Source organism: Homo sapiens, chromosome 2, assembly GCF_000001405.40.
Source record: "Homo sapiens chromosome 2, GRCh38.p14 Primary Assembly".
NCBI classification, from domain to species: Eukaryota; Metazoa; Chordata; class Mammalia; order Primates; family Hominidae; genus Homo; species Homo sapiens.
In genome coordinates this window covers 77,831,597-77,845,077 of record NC_000002.12, presented here as the reverse complement: position 1 = coordinate 77,845,077, position 13,481 = coordinate 77,831,597, and the positions used below count along the sequence as shown (strand labels likewise).

Below are 13,481 nucleotides of genomic sequence, written 5' to 3'. Positions count from 1 at the left end.
ACCAGTACCATGCTGTTTTGGTTACTGTAGCCTTGTAGTATAGTTTGAAGTCAGGTAGCGTGATGCCTCCAGCTTTGTTCTTTTGGCTTAGGATTGACTTGGCAATGTGGGTTCTCTTTTGGTTCCATATGAACTTTAAAGTAGTTTTTTCCAATTCTGTGAAGAAAGTCATTGGTAGCTTGATGGGAATGGCATGGAATCTATAAATTACCTTGGGCAGTATGGCCATTTTCACGATATTGATTCTTCCTATCCATGAGCATGGAATGTTCTTCCATTTGTTTGTGTCCTCTTTTATTTCATTGAGCAGTGGTTTGTAGTTTTCTTTGAAGAGGTCCTTCACATCCCTTGTAAGTTGGATTCCTAGGTATTTTATTCTCTTTGAAGCAATTGTGAATCGGAGTTCACTCATGTTTTGGCTCTCTATTTGTCTGTTATTGGTGAATAAGAATGCTTGTGATTTTTGCATATTGATTTTGCCTCCTGAGACTTTGCTGAAGTTGCTTATCAGCTTAAGGAGATTTTGGGCTGAGACACTGGGGTTTTCTAAATATACAGTCATGTCATCTGCAAACAGGGACAATTTGACTTCCTCTTTTCCTAATTGAATACCCTTGATTTCCTTCTCCTGCCTGATTGCCCTGGCCAGAACTTCCAACACTATGATGAATAGGAGTGGTGAGAGAGGGCATCCCTGTCTTGTGCCGGTTTTCAAAGGGAATGCTTCCAGTTTTTGCCCATTCAGTATGACATTGGCTGTGGGTTTGTCATAAATAGCTCTTATTATTTTGAGATCCGTCCCATCAATACCTAATTTATTGAGAGTTTTTAGCATGAAGGGTTGCTGAATTTTGTCAAAGGCCTTTTCTGCATCTATTGAGATAATCATGTGGTTTTTGTCTTTGGTTTTGTTTATATGCTGGATTACGTTTATTGATTTGCATATGTTGAACCAGCCTTGCATCCCAGGGATGAAGCCCACTTGATCATGGTGGATAAGCTTTTTGATGTGCTGCTGGATTCAGTTTGCCAGTATTTTTTTGAGGATTTTTGCATCAATGTTCATCAGGGATATTGGTCTAAAATTCTCTTTTTTTGTTGTGTCTCTGCCAGGCTCTGGTATCAGGATGATGCTGGCCTCATAAAATGAGTTAGGGAGGATTCCCTCTTTTTCTATTGATTGGAATAGTTTCAGAAGGAACAGTACCAGCTCCTCCTTGTACCTCTGGTAGAATTCGGCTGTGAATCCATCTGGTCCTGGACTTTTTTTGGTTGGTAGGCTATTAATTATTGCCTCAATTTCAGAGCCTGTTATTGGTCTATTCAGGGATTCATCTTCTTCCTGGTTCAGTCTTGGGAGGGTGTATTTGTCTAGGAATTTATCCATTTCTTCTAGATTTTCTAGTTTATTTGCATAGAGCTGTTTATAGTATTCTGATGGTAGTTTGTATTTCTGTGGGATCGGTGGTGATATCCCCTTTATCATTTTTTATTGCGTCTATTTGATTCTTCTCTCTTTTCTCCTTTATTAGTCTTGCGAGCGGTCTATCAATTTTGTTGATCATTTCAAAAAACCAGCTCCTGGATTCATTGATTTTTTGAAGGGTTTTTTCTGTCTCTATTTCCTTCAGTTCTGCTCTGATCTTAGTTATTTCTTGCCTTCTGCTAGCTTTTGAATGTGTTTGCTCTTGCTTCTCTAGTTCTCTTAATTGTGATGTTAGGGTGTCAATTTTAGATCTTTCCTGCTTTCTCTTGTGGGCATTTAGTGCTATAAATTTCCCTCTACACACTGCTTTAAATGTGTCCCAGAGATTCTGGTATGTTGTGTCTTCGTTCTCATTGGTTTCAAAGAACATCTTTATTTCTGCCTTCATTTCGTTATGTACCCAGTAGTCATTCAGGAACAGGTTGTTCAGTTTCCACGTAGTTGAGTGGTTTTGAATGAGTTTCTTAATCCTGAGTTCTAGTTTGATTGCACTGTGGTCTGAGAGACTGTTTGTTATAATTTCTGTTCTTTTACATTTGCTGAGGAGTGCTTTACTTCCAACTATGTAGTCAATTTTGCAATAAGTTCAATGTGGTGCTGAGAGGAATGTATATTCTGTTGATATGTGTGGAGAGTTCTGTAGATGTCTGTTAGGTCTGCTTGGTACAGAGCTGAGTTCAATTCCTGGATGTCCTTTTAAACTTTTTGTCTTGTTGATCTGTCTAATGTTGACAGTGGGGTGTTTAAGTCTCCCATTATTATTGTGTGGGAGTCTAAGTCTCTTTCTAGGTCTCTAAGGACTTGCTTTATTAATCTGGGTGCTCCTGTATTGGGTGCATGTATATTTAGGATAATTAGCTCTTCTTGTGGAATTGATCCCTTCACCATTATATAATGACCTTCTTTGTCTCTTTTGATCTTTGTTGGTTTAAAGTCTGTTTTATCAGAGACTATTACCTCCTGATATTCATGTGTGAAAATATGCCTGGAATATTACCAACCCAGAAGTTCACTTGAGTTTTAGGGTCCAGTCTTATGGAGACTTCATTATGTAGCCACAATTGATTTATTGCCCACATGGCTAAACGCAGTCTTTATACAGCTAAAACCTTCTGACTCAAATCCCCACCCTAAATCCATGGTTGTCTTTCTGTAATGATCAGCCCCCACACTGACTATCATGTGGGGCTGTGCAAACTCTGAGGCTTCTCCTTAGCATAAACTGTCAGTTGTCAGAGGAGCCTGCCAGGAATAAAAAAGGACCAGGAGAATCCGTATTACCTTGAAACTTGTAGGAAATAAAATTCCCGAACCTTTCCCAGTCTACTGCATCAGAAACTATGTGAAAGCGGCCCAGAAATCTGTTTTTAACAAGCCCTCCAGTTGATTCTCATTCATGCTCAAGTTTGTAATCCATTATTCTAATCCTGAGACCCATAATGATCATGTGATAGGGGAGAAAAAAGCGTAGAGTTTAAGAGCTTTTTCAGAGAAGCAATATCACTTTAAAAATAAGTAGTATTTGAAAACACAGATTACTATTCATTTAGTTCTTAAAATTTTAGTGAGGTTCTTTATTTTTATGTCAAGAAAATTTACATGAGACACCTTATTCATCTGCCTTTCTGGTTTCTTTTGTTTCATTTCTAAAACAGTTACTAATTTAGGGTAGCAGAAATGATCAAAGAAGTGTGCAGGAATATTTTTAATGAAATAAAAGCTATGCCTACACTGTCAATGTTGGGTTTGTATACAGTATTTTTTTCCAGTTGAAAACAAAGATTATTCTTTCATAAGTGAAGAACTTGTATCATATTCTGAAATATGAAATAACTTTTTTTAATAGCTCAGCAATAAACCATTCAACTTGGGGTCCATGATATGGAGGCCGACAGTTTGTAATGTAGGGTTTAATTAAATTGGGCACTGCTATAATTAAGGGTTTTGAGTTATTAATGCATCACTCTGGCAAACATTTAATTTTTTATCTCTCTAGTGAAACCCATATTAAAAGAGGATATTAGGACAGTTAAATAGAATTTGCTGCAGAAATGGTTTGGATTTTTAGATGTAATTCAGCATAATACACTGCAGTAATTGTTTTCATTTTAAATAAAAAAGAGAACTTTTGGAAGCTCAAGAATATGAGTGTAGTCTGAAATAAGAGAGCAATTCCTTTTTTAAAAATCAGGTATAATAAAACCAACTTGGAGAAGAAATTGCTCTAAATGTTCAATGTTGAAAATCTGTCCATGCTTACCCCAAATCACCGCAGCATTTTGGGCTCGCAAAATGGCATCTGAAGTTTAGGCTATTTTAGTATCATATGCTATTTTAGAAAATATTTTGCATATTTCATTTGTATCTACACAAGGCAAAGGGGCAGATAGATCTTTAACCTGTTGATTACCAGTTTTCTCTAATAGTTGATATTAATTAAAACATCATTTTTATTTATCCACCATAGGCTCTCAATGACTCTCCCAAGTAGGGGTATTTTTTTTAATCCATATTCCAAGCAGACTCAGTGATATTCTTTCACTGATAGTTAGAATCTGAACTCTGGAGTGTAGAATCACAAAGTCCAGCATTTCCCAGAGAAATTTCTAAGGAACTTTAGTTTCAGGGTTCACTCTGCCATAAAACAAACCTAAACTTAAATAAAATTGATTTGCCGGGCACAGTGGCTCACGCCTGTAATCCCAGCACTTTGGGAGGCTGAAGTGGGTGGATCACCTGAGGTCTGGAGTTCGAGATCAGCCTGACCAACATGGAGAAACCCTGTCTCTACTAAAAATACAAAATTAGCCAGGTGTGGTGGTGGGCACCTGTAATCCTAGATACTCGGGAGGCTGAGGCAGAATTGCTTGTACCCGGGAATCGCAGGTTGAGGTCAGCTGAGATCATGCCATTGCACTCCAGCCTGGGCAACAAGAGCTAAACTCCATCTCAAAATAACAATAATAATAATAATAAAATAAATAAAAATTAAGAAAAATAAAAAATAAAATTGATTCAAATTATTTGATAGCATATTACAAATTATGAGGAGTTGTCTAGTTAGAAAATATAGAAAATTTTCTTTATTTCAACATTTGTAGAACTTAATTTAGCACAGGGTCTCTTTTTCACTCTGTTCACAATACAGTTCCAGAGAACACACATTGGAAAATGCCGTTGTAATGAAAAGAGGGCTGGTTTAGGCATTAAGAGACCCCAAATCAGTCCTGCTTTCATTATTTGCTAACTGTATTAGCTTAGAAAAATTAATTAAATTCTTGAAGATTCAGTTTCTCATCTCTAAAATAAGGTTGGTAACTATACTTACAGACTTGTTGTGAGGATTAAATAAATACATAGGCTTAGAATCTTGATAAACTTTAAAGTGCAATTGAAAAGTTCATTTTAATTTCTTTGTCTTGTCAACCAAAAATAATCTAAAAGGTCAGTATCTAGTTTAAAGAGAGTTTATTCAAGCACAAAATGTAAGGGCAGGCTGCCCGGGAAGGTAAGATTCCAAAGAATGGAAGTCAGTGTTCTGAACTGTAGAAGATTGGATTCAGTTATAAAGATGAAGTTTAGGGAAGTTTAAAAGATGTTCAATATCTTTCTATTTAATGCTTAATGCCTAGTTACAATAATTTGATTAATTTAGTTGGTCTTTTCGAAATTTAATTTTTAATTTTTTTTTTTTTTTTCAGACAGTTTCTTGCTCTGTCACCCAGGCTGGAGTGTAATGGTGTGATCCTAGCTCACGGCAGCCTTGAATTCCCAGGATCAAGTGATTCTCCCACCTCAGCTTCTGGAGTAGCCGGGAATACAGGTATGTACCACCAAGCCTGACAAACTTTTTTTAAAAAAAATTATAGAAACAGGCCAGGCGCAGTGGCTCACGCCTGTATTCCCAGCACTTTGGGAGGCTGAGACGGGCAGATCTTGAGGCCAGGAGATTGAGACCATCCTGGCTAATACGGTGAAACCCCGTCTCTACTAAAAAAAAAAAAAAAAAAAAAAAAAATGTAGAAACAGCATGTCCCTATGCTGCCCAGGCTGATCTCAAACTCCGGTCCTCAAACAATCCTGCTGCCTCAGCCTCCCAAAATACTGGGATTACAGGTGTGAGCCCTCCACCCAGTCAAGGTGCTTTTTTTTCTTTTGGAAGGGTATATTTAACATTCCACAATGAAGATATAACCTTCACAGGGTCTTGGATGCCATTTGGTCTGAGTTATGTAGAGGACAATGAAGGAGGCAGTTAATCTATAACAAAGATCAGTGATTAAAAAGATGGGGAGGTCTGGTCTTTGGTCTGTCCTACTCATTTACAGAATAAGAACTGAGGAAGAGAGTTAACCTATAATCTAAGAAGCACAATTGCAAACATGCTATGTGACTCAGTCTCTATGGCTTAACTTCTCTTTGTTATAATACATTTAAAGAGTCCTACAATTTTCTTTTACATTTTCTCCTTTTCTTAAAATTTTTCATAGAAAGCATTGCAAAAGAAATCATGTATTTAGGGCAAAATCTCACATCACTCCAGAGTTCAGATTCTACAATCCACAGTTCAGATTCTAACTAGGAAACTAATAAAAACTCAAAAACAATGGTTAGGGCTGGAATCTAATAACAGATATCTTATAGTTTTCCTCTGAAGCAAAATATTTCCCTCTTTAGTCCCCAATTTTTACCAAATATAAATCTTAGTGAGACCAATTTACTTGCAAAGCAAGTTTTGGTGTTATACTTGGCATGATTATTTGCATAAAGTGCAACAGAAATAGTGAATGGCCATATAGGAATTTTAAAATTGGCTTTCATGGAAAATTTTTCATAAGGTATCACTTATTAGACTTTTAAAAGCCTTTCTAGCTCAAGAACCAAAGACAATGATTCACAATGAGACTGGGCCTATACAAACTGGGTGAAATGATCTTACTTTGCTATCCCAAAATATCTTGAGGTTCCTGGGCCTGTCAGAAAGTGACATTCTTTACTTACCACAAAGTCAGGAACCTTTAAGAGAACTATGTAAACAAGGTACCAGGCCAGTCTTTCCAAAGGGCTTTTTTTATCAGCTCCATAAGGTCAACTGTAATTCCTCAAAGTAGTGTAGTCAGATCTTAAAATACACCATTCCAGTCAAAGCCTTGGTAAATAAAACAAAACAAACAAACAAACAAACAAAAAAAACCAGTGTCTTCAAGTGTGTGCTGTTGCAAAAGAAAACATGTTCTTATTGAATTTATACAAATGACTGTATTTCCATAAATCAAGAATACTCACAAACAGTCCCAAAATTCTGGAGAAGTCCGTTGAAGAGAAAAGCAAACGTTTTAATTTTCCTCACAAATGTGTGCTTTACCCAATTTCTGTGAGCTATAGATCAAAAGAAGAAAGTTTTCTTGGCTCTGGAAAACATAATATAAAAAGAATCACCACTTTAAAAAAAAAGTCATAAACATTATTTTAGTCTACTATTAGTTCAATTACATGTAATTAATTATTCTGTTTGATGTTGGGTTACTAATTCTTATGAATGCATTAGCTATTTAATTAAATCATGAAACTTTTTAAACAGTTCAATTGTTTGATATTTTGTATTTAAGAGTACTTGGCAATGTCTTTTTAAATAAATTTCTATCTTAAAAAGGCAAAATTTGGACTGTAGCCAATTGCAAACCACTTTTTGAGAAAAATCAGAGTAAATCAATGTTTGTCTGGGGATGACAAAAGATTTAAGATAGCCATGGCTAAAGATACAATTGACAAGAAAATTTGGTTATTTATGTGGCATACAACAATTTAACATAACAATCATAATTATGACTGATAATATATACCAAAACATATGAGAATTTAGGAATATCATACAATTTTGATGCACATATTAATGTCACATTTAAATATAAACTTAACTTTAGAATTTGAAATTTGATTTGGGGAAGTATGTGAAATATCAAAAATTTAAAATGTTTAATATCAAAATAGAACCACAGGTCAATTCATTTAGCCAAAGTGATATTTCAAATATTTTAAAAAGAAAAATCCTGTACTCTTTTAGAGAGGAGACTGTTCCCCCAAAATCAAAAGATCCAATGAAATAGTATGAGCCCAACAGAATCTATCTCTCCCTCCATTATTTTTGTCAGTTTACTGACAAAAACCTGCAAATCTTTTACTATCACTTATTAATAGTACATGAAATTATTGTTCAAAGGAGAAAGCTGAATTTCATTTTATATTAGTGTGTTATCAGTACTAAGGCTAATTTTAATAAAATCTTACAAACAAATGCATCTAATCTCAATGAACTTTGACCACATAAGATTTCCACAAACCTTTTATAACCTCTTACAAAACTTTTGTATTTTTGTCTCCCTCCAACATATCAGATCAATTTATGCCCTCCCTCTCTTCATTCCTTCCTTCCTTCCTTCCCTCCCTCCCTTCCTTCTCTCTCTTCTTCCTTCCTCCCCTCCCTTCTCACCCTTCCTTCCTTCCTTCTCTCTCTCCTTCCTTCCTCCCTCCCTCCCTCTCTTCTTCCTTCCTTCCCTCCCTCCCTTCCCTCCCTCTCTTCCTCCCTTCCTACTCTCTCTTCTTCCTTCCTCCCTCCCTCTTCTTCCTTCCTTCCCTCCCTCCCTTCCTTCCTTCTCTTTCTCCTTCCTTCTTCCCTCCCTCCCTCTCTTCTTCCTTCCTTCCTTCTTTCCTTCTCTCTCTCCTTCCTTCCTCCCTCCTTCCCTCTCCTTCCTTCCCTCCCTCCCTCCCTCCTTCCCTTCCCCTTCCCTCCCCTCCCCTCCCCTGCCCTCCCTCCCTCCCTCCCTCCCTCCCTCCCTTCCTTCCTTCCTTCCTTCCTTCCGTCCTTCCTTCCTTCTTTCTCTCTCTCTCTTTCTCTCTTTCTTTCTTTCTTTTTCTCTTTCATCTCATGTGTTGTCCAGGCTGGCATCAAACTCCTGGGCTCCAGTGATCCACCTGACTCCACCTCCCAAAGTGCTCAGATTACTGGTGTGTATCACCATGCTGAGCCTAAATTCATTTAGTTATACATAACATATATATAATTTTTCCTTCATTTTGAAACAAACTTTAACCTTTAAAGTAGATAAATTTATATTGTCTCTAATAAAAACGTATTTTAATCTCTTTTTTATGAACTTGAAAAAAATTCCGTTAGCCGCGGCAAATCCAACGGGTTTGCAGCAAACTTGGTACTTGCCTCCTCGAAGGAAAGAATTTGGCTGAGGGGCATAGGGCAGAGGGAGAGATCAAGGCAACTTTTAGAGCAGGAATGAAAAGAAGTAAAGTACACTTGGAGGAGGGAAAACCAGGCAACTTGAGAGCTCCAAGTGCTTCATCTACACTTTGACTTGGGGTACTTACACACTGGCATGCTTGGGAGATTTGCATTTCTCCTCCCTTGATGTTTCCTTGAGGCAGGCTGTCTACAAGCACAGTAATCTGCCAGCTCTTGGGAAGGGCCACATGCACTGTGTTTACTGAAGTTGTGTGCGTGCTCATTTGAGGTGTTTTTCCCTTACCAGTTGAGTGTTTTTAGAGGAAGGTCATACATCAATTAAATTCCACCATTTTTCCTCTTAGTATCCATGGTTGAGCCTACTTGCCTAACTCCTGAAATCGTATCAGAAATCTGCTGATTACCAGGTTCAGATGCTTTCTATCTATCTGAGACTGCCTTTCCCTGGTATGGGCTACAACCAATTATTATTTTAAAGAGCGACTTTAACAATCACCTGATGGGCACCTGACATTCCTCAGTATGGGGGCACTCTCCTGCCCTTGCATGCCTGCCTAGCTACCTGACATTTCCCCCCTCAAGAGTCTGTGACCCAATTATTTGGGAAAATAGACAGAGATCAGTCTTCTGTAACTGCTTCCTGCTGACAAAGGGGCAGTGGCAGTTGTTCCATGGGTCTTGACCTCTTGCTAGCTGTCAGGGCAGTGTGGCTCTGTGAGTTGGTGAAAGCGGTATTCAGCCAGGTTCAAGGGAGACAGGGGCAGAATTTCACCTCTGTTGTGTCCCACTGCTGGGTATTCTAGGGGTCCTCTATAGAAGGGTGGCTCTTAAATATTGAGAGGCCAGTATCCCTCACTGAGGATTATCTGGAGCTTGATGGCCTAAAGATGCGAAGAGACAAATCACATTATTAGATTTAGAAGACACGGACCAAAAAGGAGCAAGAATAAGAGAGTAACAAGTAGGCCTAAAAAGAGAAGAAACTGGGAGAACCATTTCCAGGTTCTTTCCCAATTTGACCAACACTAAGAGGCTTGTCCCCATAAAGAGGCTTCATTTAGGAGTTGTTTGATGTTGTCGTGTGCATCTGCTGATTGATTTACCTAAAAGCAACATTCTTCATCTAAGGCTAAACAAATTCCTTCATGTGCTGCCATTAACATATCTAGTCCTCAACAATTTTGGAAGGCCATGGTTGCTAAATAGCTAATTTGTTCTTGAACAGTTACTAAAGTTTTAGCCATGGTGTCAGTGTTGTTGGCTAATTTCTTTGAGAGTTGGCTATAGGTCAAGAAGGCTTTTGTAATTCCTGCAATTCCAGGTTCTGTACCAGCTATAATGCCAAGTCCCATGAGAAGGGGAATTAACTGGATAGCCCTCCTTACCGTGGGCAAAATGGAATGCCTATAGATTGGTACTGAAAGAGAGAGATTGCCAGGGGCTGTGAAGATATGCAGGAATACATAGCCTATGGTATAAATTCCAATACAGTTAGTAGGGAGGCATTGGCAAGCTAACTGGCCACAAACATAGAAGGTTCGTTGCATTTTAAGACAGGTGAAGACGTCAAAACAAAATAAAAGCCTGACTTTTTTCAGGATAGCTAGTGGACATGGCTGACTCCTTATGTCCCCAGTCCTTGCCTAGAATTTAATGACTTTAAATCAGGCAAGTTGTACAGTTATTAAAAGTTATAGTATTGGTTTATGACCTTAAAGCATTCAGTACTCCTAAGACTCTTTAAAATTGTACTACATTACTTTCATAAATTCCATTTTATGTATCTTCTTATGACTTACACAGACTATTTATGACATGTTTGGACTTTTTGACTTGTCCTAAACATTCCTCTTTTTAAACAACCATTCATTTTAATTTAGGAGAAGAACTTACCATATGAGATGTCCTTTTATACAAAATCTCTTTTCTTTATTACCTTCCTTACCAAAATACTTATTTACTTTTATAACCTTTTAATTAGATAAAAGTCTTTTTTTTATGTTATGAAGTTATAATTTTAGTACATGTCGCTGTGTGAGTCCAGTAAAGAGGGGAGCAGACAAGGTTATCTACCTACTGTAGAAGTTATACCCAATCAAAAGATTGCTCAGGTAAATTTTTGCTACGACTTGTCAAGATAAGTGTGGGCTGTTTCTAAACCCTGAGATTGGACTTTCCAAGTTGTGGTTATTGGTTAAAGATTTTGGTATAAATAACAGATGAATTTAGAGGTTGGGAAAATATTAAGCAGGCACCCATTTTGGAAAGTATGTTTTTGCCTCAAAGGAGTATGATTCTTTTATTTTGGAGGTATGGGGTGCCATTTGCTCTCATTACGCAGCAGGATTTGGAGGACGGTGCCTCAGAGAAGATTAGCACAGAGTAGACAGCTCGTGAACCCCAAAGAGAAATTTATAATTTTACTTCCTACCTGTAGGGCTGTAGGGTTTTCCTTGGCTTTGTTCTGTCGATAATGATGTCTGATTTGGAAGCCAGCTGGAGGAGAGAGCCCCTTCAGCTCAAGGCCATCAGGGGTTGGGATTCTGTCCCAGGGCCTTTTGGACCTCAGGGGCCGTCCTGTTTCCAGTGGCCAAGCTTGTGGCAGAGGGGCCAAGTCATGCAGGGCTTTTTTCCATTTATCCCACTGGGGAAATTTGCCTTCCAGTGACCTGGCTTCTCACACTGATGATGACAGTTACCCTGGAGGGTATTCTGAGGACAACTTGAAGTGGGCTTCAGGGCTGGTAAACCAGTCAATAGTTGAGCCTGCCTTTGTCCATGTTTCTTCTTCTTCTTAGCCTTTATTTATTCTTTATTCTGCTGTCTTATAAAACACTGAGGAGGTTAATTTGAGGATTTTCTGTATAAGGGCACTGACTGGGTTCTAAGGCTGACTTTTGTAATTTTCTCCCAGTTTGTATTTAGGCCACACAGTATTACAAACGAAACCTAATTGTTGGTTTCAAGGTTTGGGGGAATCAAACTTTTCCCAGTTTTTAAGGCTATATTTGAGGGGCATGTCCTGTGGTATGGAGATGCTATTACCCATCTGCAAAGAGAAAGCAGAGGAGAAAAAAAAGAGATATCCCCTCTTATTCCCTATTATCCTTTCTTGAACAGAGCATCCTCCATTCATCCTTAGGTTTCCAGAAAGAACTGGTCTCACCAGATATGCTTAAAGGTCCCATTTCATCACAATTGTCCACTTGAGAACAGAAGAAATACCAGAATGAACAGGGGGCCCCCTATTCACCCTTGGTGTTCCAGAATGAACTTGTCTTACCCAATACCCCTAACCTTGCCTTCATCTCTGTTCTAATGGTAATCTGTTCTTTGCCTACAGTCTGGGATCAGCCTTCATCTCTGTCCTATGGGTACTTTTGTTTCTTCTGCCTGTGGTCTTGGGCCAGCCTATATCCTTGTCTCCATGACGTTAAAGTGACTCTTGTTCGGAGCATCCAAGCAACAAAATGGTTATCTCTTTTTCTCAGATTCCCATAACCCATTTTATTTAAGTAGATGAGAAACCTGTTTTTCAGGTAGGTGCCACAAATGAGCAGGACTTTCCTCCTTTTGAATATGACCTTGATGGTCTAGAAGTGCATTGAGAAAAGCATGAAAGTGATTAGAGGAACGGAGGAAAATTTGTATCTGGGGTTCCTTGTCCTCCTGGGGTAACATGCAGAACAAATGTTTAAAGGGACAGGACAATCACTTTGTTGCAGGAGATAGTGGGAGAAAGTGAGAGAGAGAGACTCATAGAAAGCTTTCATATGCTCACAAACACAGCAGCCCTTGGATTCCATAGGGTAACATTTATTTGCTCTCTTGACATAAAAGAGGACCTCTGGAGGACTTGGGGCTTGGAATACGGGTTTTCAAGTGGCAAATGAAGAATTTCCCCTCCTTCAAGAAGGGTACTGAATCAAAAAAAAGCAAGTAGGTGTGCTCCTTAAAGATCCACAGAGTGAGGCCCTATGCAGGTGGACAAACTGCTTCAAAAGCCATCAAAAACCTTAGTCCTGGAACACAACGGACAAAAAGCACATGGTAAGTCATAAGAAACTGGAAAAGCCAGGATTCCAAGTAGTGTCTGTCCTAGCAGTGAGCCAACAGACAGGGGAAGGGTTGGAGGTCATCTGAGCTAATAAAGTAAAAGCAAGTATAAATCTCAGGGCACATCAGCAAGAGAGCTTGTCTCTTGGCTGCCAGGCAAACAGCAAGAGCCATGGGAACACAAATAACAAACAAGGAGTGTGTGTTTAAGGCAGAGAAGGAAGTCACATGGCACACAAAGTGAAAGCAGAGGAAAGGCAGACTTGCCCACAAGGTGGATGGTCTGATGGGTATGTAAGTCCATTTTAGAATACAGGTAAAGAAAACAAGAGAATAGGTGGCGTGGGTTTTGGGAAAGAGCTGATTTTAGTTGAAAAAGCAGAGGAAACCCCAGACATTTCATGGTCTTAGGCTTTAGCCCTAAAACAGTTGTGAGCCTGCCATCTAAGAGAGCCATTAACATCTCAGGTCTCCTCAGTGTAGACTTCAAGGTCCTTCCCATTCCCACAAGACACCCATCATGGTGAGTGGATAGATCAGCTGGCCAGAGAAGAGCCACTGTGGCAGAGATGAATCACTCTGGGAGTTGGTCAGTAAGCAGGAGAGCAAAAGGAGAGAAAAAAACTATGTTACAGGGGTTGAACGCTTCCAGCTGAAGAAGGCAAGACATAGAAGTTTCTTGCC

At 38.8% G+C, this 13,481-nt stretch overlaps 1 long non-coding RNA gene across 1 annotated transcript in view; it reads left to right on the top strand.

Annotated features, from left to right (window-relative positions):
• LOC101927967 (uncharacterized) overlaps window positions 1-13,481 on the top strand; it is a 547,036-nt gene that overhangs the window by 445,654 nt on the left and 87,901 nt on the right. Inside the window, exon 3 of the long non-coding RNA NR_110288.1 lies at window positions 5,188-5,309. This is a non-coding gene — a long non-coding RNA (uncharacterized LOC101927967). The remainder of the gene's footprint in view (window positions 1-5,187; window positions 5,310-13,481) is intronic.